At 37.7% G+C, this 26564-nt stretch overlaps 1 protein-coding gene across 91 annotated transcripts in view; it reads right to left on the reverse strand.

The window, feature by feature from the left end:
• Positions 1 to 26564, reverse strand: part of SSBP2 (single stranded DNA binding protein 2) — a 339004-nt gene that overhangs the window by 199057 nt on the left and 113383 nt on the right. For 74 of the 91 annotated variants that reach the window (NR_174563.1, NR_174543.1, NR_174532.1 and 71 more), the window contains 2 exons: positions 24697 to 24758; positions 3613 to 3697 (listed from right to left, as the gene is read on the reverse strand). The exons of 5 other annotated variants lie outside the window; for them this stretch is intronic. Coding sequence is in view for 35 of the 86 variants with exons in the window: in NM_001400354.1 (NP_001387283.1) it covers positions 3613 to 3697; positions 24697 to 24758 (147 nt within the window). In the remaining 51 variants the exon portion in view is untranslated. The remainder of the gene's footprint in view (positions 1 to 3612; positions 3698 to 24696; positions 24759 to 26564) is intronic. 12 more of the 91 variants (NR_174533.1, NR_174553.1, NR_174560.1 and 9 more) reach the window with 2 other exon arrangements.

Consider the following 26564-nt stretch of genomic DNA (forward strand, 5'->3'; position numbering starts at 1 on the left):
AATCCATATCTATGTAAAATTCTAGTCTTATAAGATAAATACATTCTGGAGATCCATTGTACAACATAGGGCATATGATTAACAATACTGTATTGTGTACTTAAAAATTTCTTAAGAGGGTATATCTTATGTTAAGTACTCTTACCACAAAAGGGAAAAAATAAAGCAAAAAGGGGAGAACTTTTGGAGGTGACAGATAAGTTTATGGCATTGGTTGTGATGATGGTTTCATGGGTGCATACTAATTTCCAAACACATCAAGTTTACACATTACATATGTACAGCTTTTTGTATGTCAATCATACCTCAGTAACGTGGTTAAAAATAAATTTTAGAATGGCTGAAAATTACAACTATTCAGTTTATGGATGTCTCTCAATATGTGCACATACAAAAAACAACAGATGTCTTTCATAAGAAATGCTAAATGCCTGTGCATGTAACATGGTAAATTTAAATTTTATTTCATTAAGTTTTTTAGTTTCCCATCTCAGAAGAGTGATTAGAACTAACTGAAAGGTGAAATTTAATCTGTTTTAAAGTAACTTTCCTGAATGTGAAATAATTAATAATTGCAGATATTTGGAAAATACAGTAATATACATAGACAAAAATAAAAATCATGCATTATCCCAATATCAAAAGATAGTCATTTTAACATTTTGGCCTATTTTAAATTAACAGAATTATTCATTATTTACCTCATTATGCCTCCAGTATTTCTTTTAAAAAGTAGTTTATGTGTCAATATTCATTCAATCTTATAGATAAGAAGTAACTATAAAATAATAAGACTAATTTTAAACATTTATACATGCAAGTGAACATTTTTAACGCTAAAAACGCAGCTACTGAAGAAAGTATTTTTTAGAATGCTTTCTTGAGTACTTTATTTTAAATTATTAAAGTATTTTAAAATTCAGTAGGTAAACATATTAATTACCATTATAGAAGTAATTCTGTAATAAACTCAAATGCAGAATATAACATTCTAGAATTTTACCAAAATCTTATTGTTTGTTCCTGTGTTTTCCATTTTCTTCCCCAAGTCTTTCAAACTATTATATTTACATGTTAGAAATAAATTTGTTAATCATTTTCAGAAATTATCTACTATTAAGAATTTAGGAAATCCTATTCATGAAAATTACCATAAAAGAAATTAATGTATTTTTAAAAATCCAATTGTAATATAAAATCATGTAGGTCAAACTCTATCTTTTCACCAGCCTCCAATTAAAAAACAAATCAGAGATGTATTACCATGAAAAGAAATTGGTTTTAAGATGTAATAAAAATGGCATCCAAGAATAAATCAAATCTCTTAAAACTAATATTTAAATTAAAATTAAACATCTGACACAATGTGCTAATATTCATAATGAATTATAAAATTCAAATACTGATTTTTTTTCTAAACTATATTTTCCAAGGACCAAATTACACAGTAAGGGGTTGTTCCTCCTTTAAAATCTACTCGAATTTTACTCCTACCTCTGGCTAATGCTCATTTCCAAAACCTATTTAAGTGTATTTCTAAAGCTAATAAGTGTGAATACTTTGAAATTTTCAAAGTGTCTTATGAATGCAAGATGATGATGATGATGAAAGTGACGATGACAACGATGATCATTTATCCAAGGCTTTTAGAAAGAGCTGCTAAATTAGTTCACTTTTCCCCTTAAGATCTCCATGTTGAACAGTAGGGTACATCTTTCTACAGAATGCAATTTTGGAAAAGTATTTATATGATTAATTTCTTAAAATGTAGGCTATCAAATATTGTATCTCCTTTAAGAGTAGAACACTGGCACTCTCTAATGCCATCTAGTTGTCAAAATTAGTGGAGACAATATCTCCCGTGACTGACAGGCCAAATCAAGGCACGCATCTCTTAGTATAAGGAAAAGATGAGATGGGGTACCCCACTCTATCCAATTCCTCATATTCTTCATGGGTAGATCTCTGCTTTATTTCTTCTGTCAACCAAGGGTAAAAAAGGAAAATGAGGTTGTTCAGATAAATCCCATGTCCTGGGCCCTGCTTTATCTACTTTTTCTCTACTTTTTATTTGCAGTAGCATCCCATTCACTCAGATTGTTCCCCAAGAGCTATTGTTCAGTGTGTAACAAGCTTTATGAGTACAATCAATGTCAGATGAGGTAATCACAAGCACTCTCACTTGAATAAGGTTAGTACACATTTAAAGAATTGCACAGGCCGGGCGCGGTGGCTCACGCCTGTAATCCCAGCACTTTGGGAGGCCGAGGCGGGCGGATCACGAGGTCAGGAGATCGAGACCATCTTGGCTAACACGGTGAAACCCCGTTTCTACTAAAAATACAAAAAATTAGCTGGGCGTGTTGGCGGGCGCCTGTAATCCCAGCTACTTGGGAGGCTGAGGCAGGAGAATGGCGTGAACCCGGGAGGCGGAGCTTGCAGTGAGCCGAGATTGCGCCACCGCACTCCAACCTGGGAGACACAGCGAGACTCCGTCTCAAAAAAAAAAAAAAAAAAAAAAAGAATTGCACAGTCCCTGCCAGGTAGCCAAGATTTTCACTTCCCGTAAGTCTGCATGCTCTTCCTCATGCTATTTTGGAGGGTATAATTCTTCTGGCCATTTCTAACTCTTCAGTCTAAGGCTGAATTATTTTCCTTGGAAGAACAAGGTCTTTTTTCCCTTTTGAGCGCTGGTTCTGGTTTTTAAGGCATTTTACACAGAATGATGCCAGCCTCCACAAACTTGACAAGTATCCCTATGGTTAAGTTTTAGGTACTTACTATCAGTTATTTCCTCAGGCTCCAGCCCCAATTCACTTCCTCCCAACCAAGGAAACTTGATTTCCTCCATCTTAAACTCAATCTGTCCCTCTTTTATGGTTAGTTCTGCAAACATGTTTCCCTAGCCCCTTCATAATACCATCTTCTCATTCTTATCTTCACTGTTTTTTTTCTTTTCACAGTTCTACTTTCTGATACTATCAGCTCTCTAAAATCAGATTTGCAGTCCTTCTAAAAAAAAATGCTCAAGCCAAGGACACTCCACTGCCGTTCCTTAAGAATTAAAAAAAAAATTACATTTTCATTTTTGCACAGAATCTTCTACTCTTGTCTGGTATTTCCTTTAATCCACAATAAATTTTATTTGGGGAAGTGAATTCAGCAGGGAAGATATTTAGCCTTATGATATATAACCAAAAGTTATAAAAGGAGAAGAATAGAGTATTTCTATATTTAATCAAAAATCTTATGTGCAAGGGAGAAATTTATCATTTACAGAAATCTTATAATGAATGTTTTTGTAGAATAAAAAAATTACTATATATTTAATTTTCATAAAATCTGAAATTTCACAAATCAGACATGCTTAAAGATAAGAAATTTCTTTAATAGCTTAGAATTAGGCCTACGCTTTATCCTAAGCTTTAACAAGACTCAAATGCCCCTTTCTATTTCACATTTAAAGTTATGAACCTACTTTTCAAGAAAAAAGAGACCAAACAATTTCTTAAGTACCAAAACAAAAGAATAGATGAGCCAGTGTATTTTTTAAGAGCAGTGGTTAAACAGAAAACTGACAGTGTAACTTTGTAAAATTATATGTTAACTTACGTAATCATGGAAGGCTTTTGCTTCACTTGAGTGTTCACATGTTTCACGTCTCTCTGGAGCTGCACAGTAGAGATCCCAAAATACACTAAAAAAGTAATCATGGTAACATTAAGAAAATCATACAACACCAATATGAGAAATCACAATTCCAAAAGTAGAAGACATGTTTTTCTTTATACAAAATGTTTTGTCTTCAGAACAGATATCTATCTGAAAGACTTAAACGCAAGCAAGGCTCTTCATGCAATAACAGTGTTACCATCTAGCCATCTTTCAGAAATGCTAAATAAGACTTTTATAAAAAAAAATTTATAGCAATAATTTAAAAATTGTCATTCTTATAACTGGCTGTTTACATGATATAAAACACTTGATTGGAGTAGCTGTAATACTTTTCACAATTTTCCCATGAAGAATAGAAACAGTAAATAATATCCTAATTTAATAATTAAGGAATCAAGTGGTCCATTGATTTTTTTACAGATAATTTTGTTGTCCAACTCATAGGCCAATACCCTGACCATTAAATTATATTGTTTAAACAAATGTATTTTCTAAATAATGGTGTTTTTCCCCACAGTTACCAAAATAGTTTAGTAACTTTGAAAATACATTGTTGGGAGGAGCCAAGATGGCCGAATAGGAACAGCTCCGGTCTACACCTCCCAGCGTGAGCGACGCAGAAGACGGGTGATTTCTGCATTTCCATCTGAGGTACCGGGTTCATCTCACTAGGGAGTGCCAGACAGTGGGCGCAGGCCAGTGTGTGTGCGCACCGTGCGCGAGCCGAAGCAGGGCGAGGCATTGCCTCACCTGGGAAGCGCAAGGGGTCAGGGAGTTCCCTTTCCGAGTCAAAGAAAGGGGTGACGGACGCACCTGGAAAATCGGGTCACTCCCACCCGAATATTGCGCTTTTCAGACCGGCTTAAGAAACGGCGCACCACGAGACTATATCCCACACCTGGCTCCGAGGGTCCTACGCCCACGGAATCTCGCTGATTGCTAGCACAGCAGTCTGAGATCAAACTGCAAGGCGGCAGCGAGGCTGGGGGAGGGGCGCCCACCATTGCCCAGGCTTGCTTAGGTAAACAAAGCAGCCGGGAAGCTCGAACTGGGTGGAGCCCACCACAGCTCAAGGAGGCCTGCCTGCCTCTGTAGGCTCCACCTCTGGGGGCAGGGCACAGACAAACAAAAAGACAGCAGTAACCTCTGCAGACTTAAGTGTCCCTGTCTGACAGCTTTGAAGAGAGCAGTGGTTCTCCCAGCACGCAGCTGGAGATCTGAGAACGGGCAGACTGCCTCCTCAAGTGGGTCCCTGACCCCTGTGCCCCGAGCAGCCTAACTGGGAGGCACCCCCCAGCAGGGGCAGACTGACACCTCACACAGCCGGGTACTCCAACAGACCTACAGCTGAGGGTCCTGTCTGTTAGAAGGAAAACTAACAACCAGAAAGGACATCTACACCGAAAACCCATCTGTACATCACCATCATCAAAGACCAAAAGTAGATAAAACCACAAAGATGGGGAAAAAACAGAACAGAAAAACTGGAAACTCTAAAACGCAGAGCGCCTCTCCTCCTCCAAAGGAATGCAGTTCCTCACCAGCAACAGAACAAAGCTGGATGGAGAATGATTTTGACGAGCTGAGAGAAGAAGGCTTCAGACGATCAAATTACTCTGAGCTACGGGAGGACATTCAAACCAAAGGCAAAGAAGTTGAAAACTTTGAAAAAAATTTAGAAGAATGTATAACTAGAATAACCAATACAGAGAAGTGCTTAAAGGAGCTGATGGAGCTGAAAACCAAGGCTCGAGAACTACGTGAAGAATGCAGAAGCCTCAGGAGCCGATGCGATCAACTGGAAGAAAGGGTATCAGCAATGGAAGATGAAATGAATGAAATGAAGCGAGAAGGGAAGTTTAGAGAAAAAAGAATAAAAAGAAATGAGCAAAGCCTCCAAGAAATATGGGACTATGTGAAAAGACCAAATCTACGTCTGATTGGTGTACCTGAAAGTGATGTGGAGAATGGAACCAAGTTGGAAAACACTCTGCAGGATATTATCCAGGAGAACTTCCCCAATCTAGCAAGGCAGGCCAACGTTCAGATTCAGGAAATACAGAGAACGCCACAAAGATACTCCTCGAGAAGAGCAACTCCAAGACACATAATTGTCAGATTCACCAAAGTTGAAATGAAGGAAAAAATGTTAAGGGCAGCCAGAGAGAACGGTCGGGTTACCCTCAAAGGAAAGCCCATCAGACTAACAGCGGATCTCTCGGCAGAAACCCTACAAGCCAGAAGAGAGTGGGGGCCAATATTCAACATTCTTAAAGAAAAGAATTTTCAACCCAGAATTTCATATCCAGCCAAACTAAGCTTCATAAGTGAAGGAGAAATAAAATACTTTATAGACAAGCAAATGCTAAGAGATTTTGTCACCACCAGGCCTGCCCTAAAAGAGCTCCTGAAGCAAGCGCTAAACATGGAAAGGAACAACCGGTACCAGCTGCTGCAAAATCATGCCAAAATGTAAAGACCATCGAGACTAGGAAGAAACCGCATCAACCAATGAGCAAAATCACCAGCTAACATCATAATGACAGGATCAAATTCACACATAACAATATTAACTTTAAATATAAATGGACTAAATTCTGCAATTAAAAGACACAGACTGGCAAGTTGGATAAAGAGTCAAGACCCATCAGTGTGCTGTATTCAGGAAACCCATCTCACGTGCAGAGACACACATAGGCTCAAAATAAAAGGATGGAGGAAGATCTACCAAGCCAATGGAAAACAAAAAAAGGCAGGGGTTGCAATCCTAGTTTCTGATAAAACAGACTTTAAACCAACAAAGATGAAAAGAGACAAAGAAGGCCATTACATAATGGTAAAGGGATCAATTCAACAAGAGGAGCTAACTATCCTAAATATTTATGCACCCAATACAGGAGCACCCAGATTCATAAAGCAAGTCCTGAGTGACCTACAAAGAGACTTAGACTCCCACACATTAATAATGGGAGACTTTAACACCCCACTGTCAACATTAGACAGATCAACGAGACAGAAAGTCAACAAGGATACCCAGGAATTGAACTCAGCTCTGCACCAAGCAGACCTAATAGACATCTACAGAACTCTCCACCCCAAATCAACAGAATATACATTTTTTTCAGCACCACACCACACCTATTCCAAAATTGACCACATACTGGGAAGTAAAGCTCTCCTCAGCAAATGTAAAAGAACAGAAATTATAACAAACTATCTCTCAGACCACAGTGCAATCAAACTAGAACTCAGGATTAAGAATCTCACTCAAAGCCGCTCAACTACATGGAAACTGAACAACCTGCTCCTGAATGACTACTGGGTACATAACGAAATGAAGGCAGAAATAAAGATGTTCTTTGAAACCAACGAGAACAAAGACACCACATACCAGAATCTCTGGGACGCATTCAAAGCAGTGTGTAGAGGGAAATTTATAGCACTAAATGCCTACAAGAGAAAGCAGGAAAGATCCAAAATTGACACCCTAACATCACAATTAAAAGAACTAGAAAAGCAAGAGCAAACACATTCAAAAGCTAGCAGAAGGCAAGAAATCACTAAAATCAGAGCAGAACTGAAGGAAATAGAGACACAAAAAACCCTTCAAAAAATCAATGAATCCAGGAGCTGGTTTTTTGAAAGGATCAACAAAATTGATAGACCGCTAGCAAGACTAATAAAGAAAAAAAGAGAGAAGAATCAAATAGACACAATAAAAAATGATAAAGGGGATATCACCACCGATCCCACAGAAATACAAACTACCATCAGAGAATACTACAAACACCTCTACGCAAATAAACTAGAAAATCTAGAAGAAATGGATACATTCCTCGACACATACACTCTCCCAAGACTAAACCAGGAAGAAGTTGAATCTCTGAATAGACCAATAACAGGCTCTGAAATTGTGGCAATAATCAATAGTTTACCAACCAAAAAGAGTCCAGGACCAGATGGATTCACAGCCGAATTCTACCAGAGGTACAGGGAGGAACTGGTACCATTCCTTCTGAAACTATTCCAATCAATAGAAAAAGAGGGAATCCTCCCTAACTCATTTTATGGGCCAGCATCATTCTGATACCAAAGCCGGGCAGAGACACAACCAAAAAAGAGAATTTTAGACCAATATCCTTGATGAACATTGATGCAAAAATCCTCAATAAAATACTGGCAAACCGAATCCAGCAGCACATCAAAAAGCTTATCCACCATGATCAAGTGGGCTTCATCCCTGGGATGCAAGGCTGGTTCAATATACGCAAATCAATAAATGTAATCCAGCATATAAACAGAGCCAAAGACAAAAACCACATGATTATCTCAATAGATGCAGAAAAAGCCTTTGACAAAATTCAACAACCCTTCATGCTAAAAACTCTCAATAAATTAGGTATTGATGGGACGTATTTCAAAATAATAAGAGCTATCTATGACAAACCCACAGCCAATATCATACTGAATGGGCAAAAACTGCAAGCATTCCCTTTGAAAACTGGCACAAGACAGGGATGCCCTCTCTCACCGCTCCTATTCAACATAGTGTTGGAAGTTCTGGCCAGGGCAATCAGGCAGGAGAAGGAAATAAAGGGTATTCAATTAGGAAAAGAGGAAGTCAAATTGTCCCTGTTTGCAGAAGACATGATTGTTTATCTAGAAAACCCCATCGTCTCAGCCCAAAATCTCCTTAAGCTGATAAGCAACTTCAGCAAAGTCTCAGGATACAAAATCAATGTACAAAAATCACAAGCATTCTTATACACCAACAACAGACAAACAGAGAGCCAAATCATGAGTGAACTCCCATTCACAATTGCTTCAAAGAGAATAAAATACCTAGGAATCCAACTTACAAGGGATGTGAAGGACCTCTTCAAGGAGAACCACAAACCACTGGTCAAGGAAATAAAAGAGGACACAAACAAATGGAAGAACATTCCATGCTCATGGGTAGGAAGAATCAATATCGTGAAAATGGCCATACTGCCCAAGGTAATTTACAGATTCAATGCCATCCCCATCAAGCTACCAATGACTTTCTTCACAGAATTGGAAAAAACTACTTTAAAGTTCATATGGAACCAAAAAAGAGCCCGCATCGCCAAGTCAATCCTAAGCCAAAAGAACAAAGCTGGAGGCATCACACTACCTGACTTCAAACTATACTACAAGGCTACAGTCACCAAAACAGCATGGTACTGGTACCAAAACAGAGATATAGATCAATGGAACAGAACAGAGCCCTCAGAAATAATGCCACATATCTACAACTATCTGATCTTTGACAAACCTGAGAAAAACAAGCAATGGGGAAAGGATTCCCTATTTAATAAATGGTGCTGGGAAAACTGGCTAGCCATATGTAGAAAGCTGAAACTGGATCCCTTCCTTACACCTTATACAAAAATCAATTCAAGATGGATTAAAGATTTAAACGTTAGACCTAAAACCATAAAAACCCTAGAAGAAAACCTAGGCATTACCATTCAGGACATAGGCGTGGGCAAGGACTTCATGTCCAAAACACCAAAAGCAATGGCAACAAAAGCCAAAATTGACAAATGGGATCTAATTAAACTCAAGAGCTTCTGCACAGCAAAAGAAACTACCATCAGAGTGAACAGGCAACCTACAACATGGGAGAAAATTTTCGCAACCTACTCATCTGACAAAGGGCTAATATCCAGAATCTACAATGAACTCAAACAAATTTACAAGAAAAAAACAAACAACCCCATTAAAAAGTGGGCGAAGGACATGAACAGACACTTCTCAAAAGAAGACATTTATGCAGCCAAAAAACACATGAAGAAATGCTCATCATCACTGGCCATCAGAGAAATGCAAATCAAAACCACTATGAGATATCATCTCACACCAGTTAGAATGGCAATCATTAAAAAGTCAGGAAACAACAGGTGCTGGAGAGGATGTGGAGAAATAGGAACACTTTTACACTGTTGGTGGGACTGTAAACTAGTTCAACCATTGTGGAAGTCAGTGTGGTGATTCCTCAGGGATCTAGAACTAGAAATACCATTTGACCCAGCCATCCCATTACTGGGTATATACCCAAAGGCCTATAAATCATGCTGCTATAAAGACACATGCACACGTATGTTTATTGCGGCACTATTCACAATAGCAAAGACTTGGAACCAACCCAAATGTCCAACAATGATAGACTGGATTAAGAAAATGTGGCACATATACACCATGGAATACTATGCAGCCATAAAAAATGATGAGTTCATGTCCTTTGTAGGGACATGGATGAAATTGGAAACCATCATTCTCAGTAAACTATTGCAAGAACAAAAAACCAAACACCGCATATTCTCACTCATAGGTGGGAATTGAACAATGAGATCACATGGACACAGGAAGGGGAATATCACACTCTGGGGACTGTGGTGGGGTCGGGGGAGGGGGGAGGGATAGCATTGGGAGATATACCTAAGGCTAGATGACGAGTTAGTGGGTGCAGCGCAGCAGCATGGCACATGTATACATATGTAACTAACCTGCACAATGTGCACATGTACCCTAAAACTTAGAGTATAATAAAAAAAAAAAATTAAAAAAAAAAAAAAAGAAAATACATTGTTAACACTTCTTTTTTTCTCCTATTCAAGAACAGTGGGAAGTGAAGCAGACTGGGGGGGAAAAATTATGCTCCTTACAAAACATACAGCTCTGGTCATCCTTCCATCTACTAAATTAACAATGAGCACATACAAGGATTCAAAAATCAGGAAAGCAAATGTTTTAAAGTGTTGGCTATAAATAAAGGCAATTACAATTATCGATAGAGTTATTTTTTTATTCCACATTTCCCACCTATAAAAGTGGAAGGTAGATTAAGACAAGTAGTTAAGAGCACAGGCACTGGAGCAGGACATATCTGAGACAGAGCCAGACCTGCTGATTACCAGCTGTGACAGCCCTTGAGCAAGTTGCTTAAACTGATCAGAAACACAATTTCCTCCTCTATAAAATGGGGTTGCTGAGAAGATAAAATTTATACCATATATGCACAGTGTCTGACATATAACAAGAATGTTATCAATAATATCATCAACACTATAATTAGTTTGCATGAAAGCTTAAAATGCATATATATTTTTAAGGCAGGTCACTGTGGTAAGGGCACACACGATGAGGATACAACAAAACTTGGTAAACTGAAGCCAGACTTTTTGTTTCAACCTTCAAAGATTCATTTAGTCTGGATCTCTCTCTCTCTTCTCAGCTAGGAGAAAACATTCTGTAAGCCTTACAATGCAAAGTTAAGTTCATAATTAATTCAGTAAAGTAAGATTACCTTCAGCGGGGAAAAACGTGAAAAACTGCGTATCGACATTATTTCCTTCTCAATTTCTATAATAAGCAGTAAATACAGAGAAAACAATAAAAACAAAAATAATTTAAATAAATTTCAATATTTTTAGGAGAGTGAAAGTTATAACTGAAATCCTTGCAGCCTTACTGGGAATAATAAAACCCGTAGATAAGGATACAGCTAAAAGTTTTTCACCTGGATCAAGTGTGTTATGCATTACAGTGTATTGCAGTAATGTTCTTAAAGAACTTCAAAGATCTTAAAACCGAAGTTTTGTAATGTAGTCTTTAAACTGTATTTAATCAAAGAATATTACATGCAGCATTATATGACAAACAATATAATATCTCTTCTTCTTTCCTAATTTCCCTAATTTCCACTCAAGTAACAGAAGACCTCTCTTGAAAAGTATTCCAATTGCATTACTTTTATAATTCCATTGTAGTACTTTTTTTTTTTTTTTTTTTTTTGAGACGGAGTCTCGCTCTGTCACCCAGGCTGGAGTGCAGTGGCACGATCTCAGCTCACTGCAAGCTCTGCCTCCCGGGTTCACGCCATTCTCCTGCCTCAGCCTCCCGAGTAGCTGGGACTACAGGCGCCCGCCACCGCGCCCAGCTAATTTTTTGTATTTTTAGTAGAGACGGGGTTTCACTGTGTTAGCCAGGATGGTCTCGATCTCCTGACCTCATGATCCGCCCGTCTCGGCCTCCCAAAGTGCTGGGATTACAGGCTTGAGCCACCGCGCCCGGTCCATTGTAGTACTTTTAAAAGATTACCTCACACAATGGACTGGGGGGAAATAATTTATTGATTTATTGTTGGCGTATGCCCTAAGAGTTATTAAATAAACATCAGAAATAATTATTTCTAAATATATAGTTAAATTAAATATTTATCTTATAATAGTAACATTGTTCTACTTCTATTTCTATGTTTGCCTTTATGGATTTAGTGGAAGGTCAAATATTTATAAGACCAACCTTAGAGATTATAAAACAAGTGATTAAAAGAGGATAATTTTATAGGTGGTGTTTCTGAGAATCCTGTATTGCTTATACATGATCTTGTTTAACATAGGCAAAGAAATAGAGCCTTTAAAAACATGTCTCATGGCAAGCCTTGTGCTAGGTAGGTCCCATATCTTAGTGTCTAGGACAAGTGTGTATTATTTTCCATACATTTACAATGTCTATTCTATCATTCTAAAGATCAGTAAATCTTCAATTTTAAAAAAGCCCTACTCATCAGGAGAGTTTCATAATTAAGTCTATAATAATCTAGGATATGTTATGAAATTTACATGATAAAATTAATTAAAAATTAAATACAAATTTAGTTTTAGTGCTATGATATTCAAGTTTTAACACATGCCCCATCTATTTTATTAAGCATATGTATGTTCCTCCTTCTAAGAATCACAGGTAGGAAAGACATTTCAAAATTTTATCATTTTTAGAAAATTCGATCACATTTTGCCTATTTGTAAAACAAGGTTGAGTATCCCTTATCTGAAATTCTTGGGACCAGAAGTGCTTCAGATTTAAATTTTTTTTGATTTTGAAATATTTTCATTATACTTATACTTAGTGGTTGAGCATCCCAAATCTGAAAATCCAAATTCTAAAAGGCTCTAATAAGCATTTCCTTTGAGTTTCATGTTGGCACTCAAAAGTTTTAGATTTTGGATCTCAGGTTTTCAGACTAGGGATGCTCAACCTATATAGTGACTGGTATAATACCATCCTAATATTTGAGAACAATTGGCCATATCATGACATCAACAACAAAGGCTGTAGTAAGACCAAAATATATGATTTTAGTCCACATTCTGCAATTAATCCATGCTTGGTTTTGTGAGCTAGTAGACAAATCACTTAACTATAATGTTATAGCCTTATTTAGAAAATAATGAGGCTAAAACCAGAAGACTTCTATAAACCTTCATGAATAAAAAATTTAAAAACTATTTTCTTCCAGTAATATTTCAAATATGCATTAAATACCACGTCTATATAATATGCTGCCATACACTGCCCAAGAAAATAAAAAGGTATGTAATCCATGGCACAAATGTGACTATTGGTCCAAAACTAGTGATGAATTCAAAATTGCTCACTTGCTCAAAATTGCTCACTTGCTCAAAATTGCTCACTTCACCTATATATGCTACATAACTTGATGTAAGGTTATATAGTATATATAAAAATTTCACTAATATTTTTAACAAATGCTTTTGGCTGATATTATGACAATGTGATAATTAGTATACAAAAATGTAGACTTATCTCCTAGAGGAAGAAGTAGGACTTTTAGTTTAGGTAAGTTTCATAGCAATACTTGATTTGTGCTTGGGTCGAGGGATTTTTCTGATGTACTTTAGTAAGCTATTCTGATGATCCACTGTACTTGTTCCTTTATCTCCAAGAGGGCCAAGCTCAGAAAATTTTGAACCTCTAAAGATGCAGACTTTGCCCCTCTACAACCTGAGATGCTGGTGACTAAGGAGCTTCTCAGTTCCTCTAATCCTACAACTATTAAACATGAAAGCAAATATTATCCTTGAAATGTAATGGGTTCATCATCATGAATAATACTTTAGAGTTTTATACACTCTTTATTCCCAAGCAGAAACAAGTGAAAATTTTATATTTTACAAATGAAGACACAGACTGAATACAGAGAAGCAAAACTTACAAAGTATTGAAGTCTTTGATCTCATATCATTTATTATTATTAAAATCTTCCCCTCATAAATCAAGAGAAAATACGGCATTCCCAAGTTGAAGATTCTCAACCAAACACTGTATCTCCCTCTATTCCTGAGAATGTAAGTTGAAATGACTTAGGTAGCTTGTTAATATCTCAAGGGAACACAGAAAGCAAAATGGTTGTCAGAGAAGTCTACAAGGGTGAATAAACATGCCAGATGTGTCCCAGAAGATGGAATGCTAACATAATTATACAACTTATGCCACTGGCCAGATCTAGGACTACCCGACAACAAAAATTTTTTAAAAGACAGAACAAAACAATAAAACGCCATGGAAAACATTTTTTCTGAGGAACAAGCCACGTTGTTATAAGCTCAAGTCTTAATAACTAAGGAAGTCATTTGTCTTTGTCCCAAAAATATATCAATGAATGTTAGTTACTGACAATCTCTGTTTAAGAAAACTATCCTATCCATTCATAAGACCAAAAACAGTTTCACATGAAATGTGTATGTACCTGTTCTTCATCTTAGAACTTCCCCATATGTATAACTTGTATTAATATTATTCCCTAGCATTACTTAATACCTTTAAAAATGAAAGCATTAAATTTTGCTTCACTTTTATAAAATTCTCACAATACTCCTGGATTAGAAATCAATTTCTATTTTAAAATATAATGAAGATAGTTACCATTATTGAGTAAGTACTATACAAGCATCATATACGAAGTATCACATATTCAACATCTAATCCTTCTAATTATTATCCCCACTTTGTAGATGAAGGAACTGAAGCTTAGGTTAAATTAGATTAAATAATTTGCCTAAAGTCACACAGTGGCAGAGCTGGGCTTGAGCCTTTTAATTATTACGTTATTTTGTTTCTAACGTGAGTGTGGTTTTAAGAGTTCTTAATGCAAGACTCCTTATTCTGATTATGGGCAGGTTTCTACAGTTCCAGCAGTCTGAGCAGCATCAGCTATTATAAGAGTGGGATGGATATCTGTACCAGATAAGACAGCAAGCACATTGTTAGCCTACCTTTGACCCCATGCACCAACTCATTTCCTGAATATCCTATGGCAACCACCCCCTCACCCTACATGCAGCTGCCAGGGATCCGTGGATGCCTCAATATAGACATGACTCAGAAGAGAAAACTTTTGAGTCCCATTTATATACACTGCCTGGAATTAGCCACTCACAATGCTCAAATGGGAAATGTAATTAATGACTTATTAATAGTGGGACACTGAATTGAGCTCTGTGATTAAGAAATATGTGTTACTGAGATGAGCACTGGTTACAATTCAGGAACTTGAATTCTAACTCTAAATTTGACCTTGGGCAAATAGTTTTTTGATTTATGTAAAAAGAGAAAATAAATGTTATGTATTTTACAGTGTTTTATACAGAGACAAAGAGATGACATACGCAAAAGTAATTTTAAAAGAAGCTTAAAGGTACTAAAAATATTATAGAAAAAGTCTCATATAGCTAGTATAGCGAAATAAAAAGTTTTCTAATTAACTTGAGTAACATTTGCCTCATTTTTCTTTTGAGTCCTTTACATTTAATGAAGATTCCCTCCGTTTTTTACAATGTTCTCTCCCCACCAAATTTTCCTCTGTATTCCACATGCCTTTCCTCTTCTCCCATGCTGAATTTTAGTTTTGTTCTCTATGGCCTATGTTTTTTGCCTTCTCTCTTGCTAACACTTTTTCTCCCTTCTCACTCTTATCAGCCTCCTCCTTCTAGCCCCGTTGTCACCTACACTGTCTTATACGATGCTTAGTTTAACCCAACTCAAATAGTTATTATACCTTGCCTGTTATAGGAAAGACATACCAGATGAGTAAAAACCAGTAAGCCAATTATAAATATTATACCATTCTAGTGAGCTAACTAATGCCATTGCACTTGTTTTCCTGTGGGTATTTGGTTATTCTTAGCTATACCTGATATTATTCATTAGGTTCTAAAATAATTAGAGTGCTAGCATACTACAAGATTGGACTTTCCACCACCAGGTGAAAGAAACAGAATTCTTAGAATAATCTTATATTTTATTTTCTCTACAATGTTATATATATTTGATTTCAGGATATAAATACAGGGGACCAAAGTCACTTTAAAAGGTGCTCTATATTTTTATTTTGTTAAATAAAAATGAGGTATAGGCTGGTTGTGGTGGCTCATGCCTGTAATCCCAGCACTTTGGCAGGCAGAAGCAGAGGCGAGTGAGTCTCGATCCCAGGAGTTTGAGACCAGCCTGAGCAACAACAGCAAAACCTCATCGCTACAAAAAAATATGAAAAAGTAGCTGGGCATGGTGATATGCTCCTTTAGTCCCAGCTACTCAGGAGGCTTAGGTGGGAGGATCACTTAAGCCCGGGAGATGGAGGCTGCAGCGAGCTATGATTGTGCCACTGCACTCCAGCCTGGGTGACCCTGTCTCAAAAAAAGAAAAAAAAAAAAGGTGTACTTGTCTGCTCTCAAGCTGCTAATAAAGACATACCTGAGACTGGGTAATTTATAAAGGAATGAGGTTTAACTGACTCACAGTTCAGCATGGCTGGGGAGGCCTCAGGAAGCTTAGAATCCATGGCAGATTCACATGGCGACAGCATGGAGAAGAATGAAAGCTGAGCGAAGGGGGAAGCCCCTTACAAAACCACCAGATTGTGTGAGAACTTACTATTTCTAGAATAGCATGGGGGAATCGCCCTCATGATTCAATTACCTCTCACCAAGTCCCTCCCACCACACGTGGGGATTATGGGAACTACAATTCAAGATGAGATTTGAGTGGGGACACAGCCAAACTATATCAAGAGATATGAGAGTTATAAAAGGCATCATATCAAGAGCTATAGTTTCTGCAATTAAAACTTTAAATAGAAAGTTTTTAAAAGCCTATGTTTTAAAATTGCACAAGTAAAAAAACACATTAACATCAGAAGAAAGAAGCTTATTGGCATTTTTATTTCTGGAACTAATGTAAGAGTTGGGAATGTTTAACAAAAAGTACAAACAAGAAGCAAGTTTTCAGAGGGGATTTGATTCAGGTAAATGTATTATAAACTGGGATGCTGAGTATGGGGTAAATAAACTAAAAAGGAAAAGAAAAAGTGATTAGGGAAATCACATTAGAAACAAGGGAAAAAAGCTCCAGAAAGTCAATCACACAAATTTCTCTATCCTATATTAAAGACAGAAATTCCCCCTCTTCCATTCTGAGGCCTTTGCCTCTCATCTCGCTGGCACTTTGTTCTGCTTATTTTGCATATGTCATATGTATCTCTTTTTCATACATCTTCAAACACTCCCACTCTTCACCAACTTTTCCCCCGAGTCTACTAGTCTCTGCCTCTTTTCTCAACCCTCTTTAATCCATCTTTTTTTTTTGAGACAAGGTCTTGCTCTGTCACCCAGGCTGGAGTGCAGTGGTGCAATCTCAGCTCACTGCAGCCTCCACCTCCCAGGTTCAAGCGATTCACCCACCTCAGCCTCCCAAGTAGCTGGGATTAGAGGGGAACGCCACCACATCCAGCAAATTGTTGCATTCTTAGTAGATGGGGTTTCACCATGTTGCCCAGGCTGGTCTCAAACTCCTGACCTCAGGTGATCCACCCGCCTTGGCCTCCCAAAGTGCTGGAATTACAGGCGTGAGCCACCACACCTGGACCCTCTTTAATCGATCTTTATGTTGATGCCAACTGAGTGTCTAAAGGCACAAATCTGATCACATCAGGGACCTGGTTTAAAATCTTTGGGATATAGTCCCAAATCCTTAATGTAAGCAGGACTTCATAATCTGTCCCCTGCTTTTGTCTCTTTATATTTTATCACTTCCTAATACTGGACCTATAGATGAACTGGTCCATACCAAATTACCTGTCATTACTTGAGTGTATGATCATCCCTTTTGAGATTTCACATTATTCCTTGCTCCAATTACCCTTCTCTCACTCAACTTTCAGCTCAGCTCAGATTCACTTTCTCTATGATGCCTTTTCTAACTCTCCCAAGCTAAAGTGAGTATTGCTCCTGTGTTGCTATTATAACCAGTACATATTTCTTTTTTAAGTTTATTTCCAGCTTTATAGAGGTATGGTTGACAAATAAAAATTGTATATATTTAAGATGTACAATGTGAAGTTTTGATATACATATACTTTGGAAAATGATTACCAAAATCAAGCTAATTAACATATTCATCACCTCACATAGTACCTTTTGTGTGTCCGTGTGTGTGTCTGGTAAGAACATTTAAGATCTACTCTCTTAGCAAATATCAAGTCTATAATACATTATTATTAAACCAGTACATACTTCTGCTTTAATACTTTTAAATTGTTTATCTTTCCTGCTATTTATTCCCTTGAGGACAACAAGTTTTGCACTCTGTAAATATTTGGTGAAAAGGCTTAAACAACAGAACAATTCTAATTTAAAATATTCTATTAAAAAATGGAAATGAGAAGAAGTCATAAAATTAACAACTGGTCCATCCAGCAGGGACTCTTAGGTTGAGCAAATGAGCAAGCAGTAAGTTCCTGAAGAATGCATGTTATCCTAATCATGTAGACCTCAACAGCAGCAACAGCTTTCCTGGTCAACATAAAAAGGCAACAATTATTAGAGTCCTGAATCCCTAACCTAGGGCACAGATTATGAAGTCCAGGTTGAAAGAGTTAAGGATAAGAAGGTCAGGCATCTGCTGGATTTAAAGCCCATGGTAATGGCTAGCGAAACACAATAATCAGGGAAGCTTAAGATCTGGGCATTTTTCTGAAAGATGAGATCCATAGCTCTCATCAGTTCTCAGAGGACCCCATGACTTCAAAACTATTAAGAATCATTGATTTATATAGATGAAGGAGGCATCTCAAAGAGTATGTCAGTAGCTTTAGGGGAAAAAATATAAAACATTAAAAAACTGTACCTATATATTTAGCATGTACTAGATTTAAACTGAACAAATATAATCTAAAAATATTTATGTGCCCATTACTTACTTATTTGGTATCTACAGCTGAGTAAAAATTAAGTTATTTAAAATACCAACGCCATGGAAGAAGGGATCCCCTGAATCTAAGAGCCACAGAAAAAGGAAAAAAATGGCACATTTAAAAGCTGCACCGTCTGACAGCTAAGGTTAAAAAAAAAAAAAAAGCTACAGAAGCAAAAAGCCAAAGTATTGAGTAAGTTATTACCAAACATCTACAGTGTAGGAATAAGTTAAATTCATGAGAAAGCATGTAAAAGAGAAAGAGGTGTAAGAAACAAAATTAATGCTACAATAGAACACTCTTAAAATCGTCACTTTGTTAACCCACTGATCCAAGTCAGACTCCTAAAATGGTCTCTTATGCCATTTGTAGACTTCACTGGAAACACACAAAATGAAAAGGTGTCAACAGGTGAGGACACTCAATTACATTTGGAAAAAAAATTAAGTATTGACAGGCTAGATCTGGATATCATAAATACTATATAAAAAGAAAATTTGAATTTTATACTATTTACAAAATGCCAGTCTTAAACCCCAGGAAAACAGCATAATGATGGTGCTTAACTGTAGTGAACCGTTGGAACAACTCTGAACCAAAAGACCGCACCTGTTCCTGCCCTACATATGTGAGACAAACAGGGGAAACCCACAACCACAACTGACCAAGTGCGGTTCCACTCACCATAGGACTTCTAGTATGGCATGCTTTCAGGAGAAAGATTAAAAACATGATGGCATTAAATAACGTTCCAAGGAAACCACGTGCATGGCACTCAAAGAGAGCTTTTGTTTTTTCCTCTTAAAGATGCTAAGAGACGAGTGTAAACCGTACTGAGTAAGAAATTCTTTTAATAGAAGAAATGGAAAAAAAAAAAAAACACCCCACCTAGCTTGTCCATGTAAATACATGGACTACCAATTGCTGCTGCAGAAAAGTCACATTCCTGGGCATACTGGCATCACAATGCATTCATAAGCTACAATATTAACTAGGATTTAAACACTGCCTGGCAATATTTTGTGTGTGCGCCTACTCAGTTCTTTCTCTGGGTCTACTTAGAATTATTTCAAACTTTTCTTTAAAGACTATCCTTCACTCTCTTAAAAATTCATCATCATCATCACCACCACCACCACCCTCAGTACCCTCACATCCTATTTTGCAGAGGAAAAAGAAAAGCTATCAGAATAAGAACTAATTTTTTGAACCCTAGATCAATTTGACTCATCATCATTTTACAGATGGTAAAACTGAGACTGAAAACAACAAAACCTTGCTGAAATGATAAGTAGTGGAGCTGAGACACTGAATCCACATGTTTTCCTTTCTCCTTGCCTCACCCTGCAACTCCACACACACCATGATCATACTGTAGAAAATTGGGAAGATAGAGGGGAAACCTCTACTTATAAGTAATGGAAATATTTGCAGAAAGAAAATCTCATCTGTAATCCAACCATATTAAAACAAATTATTTTTTTTCTCTTAATACCCATTTATGCTACACTGTACATGCAACACTATGTCCTGCTTTGTTAAAATGTCTTACGCATTTCTTTTGTCATTATATAGTGTTCATCATTATTAAATGTGTAATAACAGCCCAAGAACAAATGTACTATAATTTTTACAACGCTTCCTTTTATTTGCACATTCCCTAAACTTTTCTTTCGTTTCTATTCTGTCTTCTATTCCAACCTCTCTTCCAGTCAAATGCAAAATACTCCATGGGAAATTCCTCATGCATTTAGACAGTTAGTGGCAGGCTTGAGGAAGATACGATATTAGGGGTAAGGACCTTAATCTAGGTTCCAAAAATTGTTAAATTCAGAAGGAAAGCCCTATGCATATATTCCAGATTGGCAGGAGGCAGGGACATATAAGGAACAGTATTTTATTAGGAATAGAAGAAATGAACTTCTTGACATCAAACCTACAAACATTCCTGCATCTCCTCTTGCCACAAGGGTAGAGATGGTCCTCTCCCCTCTCACTTCCCAGCATTTGTGCTTTGGACCTCCTTCTCTCAGGCCTTGTATGGGGTTTTAAACCATTAAAATCTCCTCTCTCCCTGTATCTTCAGACTCTGCCCCTCTACTGTCTCCTTCTCTTAAACACTAAACATGCTAATGTCTCTCCCATCTAAAATGAAAAACTTCTTTTTCTAACCTACACTATTCCTCCAGGTATCATTTCTCATCATAGATGAACCATTTTAAAGAGTTGACTATATACCATTTCCCACTTCCTACCTTCACAGTCACTTCTGAATCTGAAACATTCTTGTTTCCTAGCCCATTACTCAGCTTTATAAGTCATTGATGGCCTTTCCCTAAATCCTAAAAGGACATATGCATTCTGATTACTTTACCTTGCAGTCACAGTTGTCACTACTGACCTTTCTTCTTCCTTCAGAAAACCCTCACTTATTCTTGTTTTCTATTATGCTACACTCTCCTGATTTTCCTCCTACCTTTTTAGCTGAGCCTCTGTCTTTTTTTTTTTTTTTTTTTTTTTTTTTGAGAGAGTCTCACTCTGTCACCTAGGCTGGAGTGCAGTGGCATGATCTCAGCTCACTGTAACCTCCGTCTCCCAGGTTCAAGCTATTCATCTGCCTCAACCTCCTGAGTAGCTGGGATTACAGGTGCCTGCCACCAGTGCCTGGCTTATTTTGTATTTTTAGTAGCGACAGGGTTTCACCATGTTGGCCAGGCTGGTCTCGAACTCCTGATCTCAAGTGATCCACCCGCCTCAGCCTCCCAAAGTGCTGGGATTACAGGCATGAGCCACCATACCTGGCCACCTTCTTTCTCCTTTACAGCCTCTTCTTCCTCCTCATTCCTTGGATGTTAATATTGCAAGGTTTCTGTACAAGGCTCATTTCCCTCCCCACTCATGGGTAATACCATTCAACCATCTCTCTCTCTCTTTCTTTTTTTAGAGATGAGGTATCGCTATGTTTCTCAGGCTGGATTCAAACACCTGGGTTCAAGTGATCCTCCCACCTCAGCCTCCTGAGTAGCTGTTACTATAGACACGCACCACTGCACCCAGCTTCATTTCCCTCTCCTTTAAACATCAGACCCATGTAACCAGATGCCTGCTCAACATCTCCACTTGGATGGTATGTATTTCAGTTTCAGCACAGGGCCTTAACAGCTGAACTCTTCACCAAATCCTACCATTTCTACTTCAAGCTTATATCCCTCAAATCCTTCTACTTCTCTTGCTCCGCAATGATTATACACTAGTTCAAGTAACCATTCTCTACTCCTTACTGCACGAGCCTTCTAAGTGCTCCTCTATTTCTGGACTTATTCGTGTTCCATCCATTATCTATTCTATAGAACTAGAGTGACATGGCTAAGATTGTAAACCTAAAATAAAATTGTAAGGTCCCCCAACCATCTAAATGGACTTCCTCCTTGGCCAGGGCACTCTTAAGATTTAACCTGAAAGACTGGTTCAGGCCATGACAGGAAGTGGGAGTGGGACTTGCCTCATTATATTCTCCAGTGTTAACATCAACACAGACTTTAAATCTGATAAGAAGCATTTACAAGCTATTCTCGCTGAAGCCTGCTACAGGCTTCATCTGCGTAATAAGAAATTTGCTTTCCATAATTGCTTATCTTAATCCAGACAGTTCTTTTCCATTGATCCCAGGTCTTCAGATAAACTCAACCAATTGCCAATCAGAAAATTTTTAAATCTACTATAACCTGGAAGCCCCTGCTTTGAGTAGTCTTGTCTTTCTAGATTGAACCAATGTATTTCTTAAATGTATTTGATTGAAGTCTCGTGTCTCCCTAAGATGTACGAAATCAAGCTGCACCCTGACCACCTTGGGAACATGTTCTCAGGACCTCCCAAGGGCTGTGTCAAGGGCCACGGTCATTTATATTTGGCTCAGAATAAATCTTTTCAAATTTTTTACAGAGTTTTACTCTTTTCTTTGACAAGATGTAAATAAACAGTATTACTCTCCTGCTTAAAAACTGCATTGTATTCTCTTTATATTTCAATTCAAATTCACAGTTTACAAATTCAGCCTCATCCCTAATCACTCTATCACCTCAATTTCCAACATAATGAATTTCTTTCTTTTCTTCCCATGTGCTATACTCTCTCTGCCTTTCACCTCTAAGTCTCTGCACATGGTATGGTTGATCCAAAACATCCCCCTTCTCTATCTCTCCATGCTTTTCTGGCCAACTCTTATATCTACTTAATGCCTTGGCTTAGATATCAGCTCTTCCAGGTGAAATGTATTTGGCATGTGCCTATATGGCACTCTGCATATCCCCTTCAAATACGTCTCTCTCACTGCTTACTTCGTTATTTGTTTTCCCTATAGACTGTTATCAACAAGAGGGTAGGGATGTGTGTGTGTTTTATTCACTGGTGTGTCCACAGTATCAAGCATAGTATCTGGCCCATACAAGACACTGAGTAAGTATTTGTTGAGAGAATGCAATAAACCTTCTAGGTTTGCATGGAGAAACAGGCTCAAAGCCTATGAATAAATGAAACTTTAAAAGATACCACTACCATGTGGCAGAAATACAAAGAAATATAAAGGTATGAACATAACTTCTTCGAGGCAAAAAAAAAAAAATCCATTTGATTAGTTCAGTATCTGTTGAGCACTGTATCAGGTCACTATTTCTCATGAATATGCTTTTCCAGTACAAGAAAATGAAGATAAACTTATTTCACTAACTGCTTATTTGTAACTTATTCCCCCCTTGTTCTTGGGAGTTTTGAGTTTGATGAGTAGCTGTTATTTTGGAACAAGATTGACCTATTACATAAAAGATGCCAATCAGATTATTATCTCCCATTCCCAATCTCCCCAAGAGGAAAAGTGAGGGTTTGAAGAAGCTATAATGGCATGCCAACGCTTATAATTACCTATACAGAAGTCTAACATTGACAACTTGATAACCCACTTTGTAGAAAGCAATTTTTTTTTTTTTTTTTTTTTGAGACATTGTCTCGCTCTGTGGCCCAGGCTGGAGTGCAGTGGTGCAATCTCGGCTCACTGCAAGCTCCGCCTCCCGGGTTCACGCCATTCTCCTGCCTTAGCCTCCTGGGTACCTGGGACTACAGGTGCCCGCCACCACGCCTGGCTAATTTTTTCTATTTTTTAGTAGAGACGGGGTTTCGCTGTGTTAGCCAGGATGGTCTCGATCTCCTGACCTTGTGATCCACCCGCCTCGGCCTCCCAAAGTGCTGGGATTACAGGCGTGAGCCCAGCCTGAAAGCAATCTTATAACTAGTTTGACAATCAGAGAGTCAAGGCTACCAAGCCCTGCTCTCTCCCAAATTCATATATTGAAATGAAGGGTTGAGTTTTTAAATAAATTCCTGATTTGAGGGGGTGGGCATTACCAATGTGATGGTATTTGGAGATGGGGTCTTTGGGAAATCCTTAGGTTTAGATGAGATCATGAAAGTGGGACCATCATGATGGGACTAGTTCCCTTATAAGCAAAGACACAAACAGCTTGCTCTCCCCAATATGTAAGGACACAGTGAAAAGGTGACTGTCTACAAGTCAGGAAGACAGCCCTCACCAGAAACTGATCATCCTGGTATTTATCTTGTACTTCTAGCCTCTAGAATTGTGAAAAGTAAAATTCTGCTGTTTAAGCCACCTATTCTACGGTATTTTGTTATGGCATCCCAAGCCGTTACAGAATTGTACTTACAGTTGGAGATTCCACACACTGGTTCCAATTCCAGTTGAACTCAATAGTAGTATATTTAAGTTAAATTACACTAGTGCTGGTTTTTAAGGGTTTTTTAAAAAGTGCTACCTTCCAGAAAATTTTAGAAAATGAAAAAATAAAAAGGAAGCATGAAATCATAAACAGGTATAGTACAGGCCTATTGAAATGCATCATCAAGCCAGTAAAAATGGAATAAAGGATACTTACCACCACCAAGAATGTAAGAATCCTGGTGGTTCCCCCAATGTGATGTTTTTTTCCCATCTTATCTAAAATGAATAAAAGAGATATTACTTTCCTAATAATACTTTTTTCCACACATATTACAAAGTAATAATATCCCCATTTAAAATACTATAGTAATATTTGAATTTTTCATCATTTTCATGATATTTTTTACCCAAGTTTTGCAAGTACTCATTTTACAAGTGATTTGTTGACTGGATTAGTCTCAGAGAGATGTCACCACTATTTTCCTGAATTTGCTTCATACTGTGCCAGTTATAAAGCTCTAGTCTTTCAGTTTTAAATCCATCTTTCTGTGGTCTTTCAGATGCTGAGACTGGAGATCCATACACTACCTTTGTCCTTCATTAAATGGCTTCCTGTTAGGTCCCATAAACTAAGAGATGCTCTAGAGGGAGACTGGAAGTAAGAAGAGGGGAAATGGATTTGTTTTCTGTTAGCTTACTATTCCTGTGAGGGTGACCCCAGCAGCAGTTCATCCAGTGATAATAGCTGTGACAATAGCTGGTTCCATTCTAGCTTTATCCCACACAACCAGAACCAGTCTCTTTGTGCCACTCAGAAGTATCAGCACAGCTGGGCAATATCTCTCTTCAGAGGTTAAAGGTAAATTTGAGCTCTTCAAGTAACAGCAGTCCCACACTCCCTCTCCTTAGAGGTCTAAGATTCAGCTCCCTGAGATTTCTCCTCCAATTTTTTTGATAACCACAAGCTCTTCCTTTTGGTGCCTCAGCCCTAGTGATTGCTCACTGAAATTATTGATTTTATGTAACTTCTGTGTGCTGTTGTTGCTTTCTTTAAAATCTGTTTAGCTATTTCCACATATTACATTCTCTGTTGAAACACTCAGCGTGCTTTTAATTGGTGTGGCTGTATTCTCACTGATACATCACTTCAAATATCCTTTCATAAGGTAAAAATATTAAAAATATCTTCATTTTAAGCAGAATGGGATATGGGCATAAACTTTAACTTTCCTACATACTAGCTGTGTGAAGTTGCGAAAGTTACTTAAATCTTCTGTGACTCAGTTTCCTCATCTATAAAATGTGGTTAATAATAGTCACCTATATCACAAGGTTGTTGTGAGGAAAAAACTGGTTAGTACATGAAAATCACTTAAAAGAGTAATTGAGACCCAGCCATCCCATTACTGGGTATATACCCAAAGGACTATAAATCATGCTGCTATAAAGACACATGCACACGTATGTTTATTACGGCGATATTCACAATAGCAAAGACTTGGAACCAACCCGAATGTCCAACAATGATAGACTGGATTAAGAAACTGTGGCACATATACACCATGGAATACTATGCAGCCATAAAAAATGATGAGTTCACGTCCTTTGTAGGGACATGGATGAAATTGGAAATCATCATTCTCAGCAAACTTTCGCAAGAACAAAAAACCAAACACCGCATGTTCTCACTTACAGGTGGGAATTGAACAATGAGAACACATGGACACAGGAAGGGGAAAATCACACTCTGGGGACTGTTGTGGGGTGGGGGGAGGGGGGAGAGATAGCATTGGGAGATATACCTAATGCTAGATGACGAGTTAGTGGGTGCAGCACACCAGCATGGCACATGTATACATATGTAACTAACATGCACATTGTGCACATGTACCCTAAAACTTAAAGTATAATAATAATAAATTTGAAAAAAAAGGATCCAAAGTATATAAGGAACTCAGTCAACTCAACAGCAAAAAATAAATAACCTGATTTAAAAAATAAAAAAATAAAATAAATAAAAAATAAAAAATAAAAAGAGTAATTGACAGGCCGGGCTCAGTGGCCCAGCTACTCTGGAGGCTG

This window comes from Homo sapiens, chromosome 5, assembly GCF_000001405.40.
Source record: "Homo sapiens chromosome 5, GRCh38.p14 Primary Assembly".
Taxonomy (NCBI): domain Eukaryota; kingdom Metazoa; phylum Chordata; class Mammalia; order Primates; family Hominidae; genus Homo; species Homo sapiens.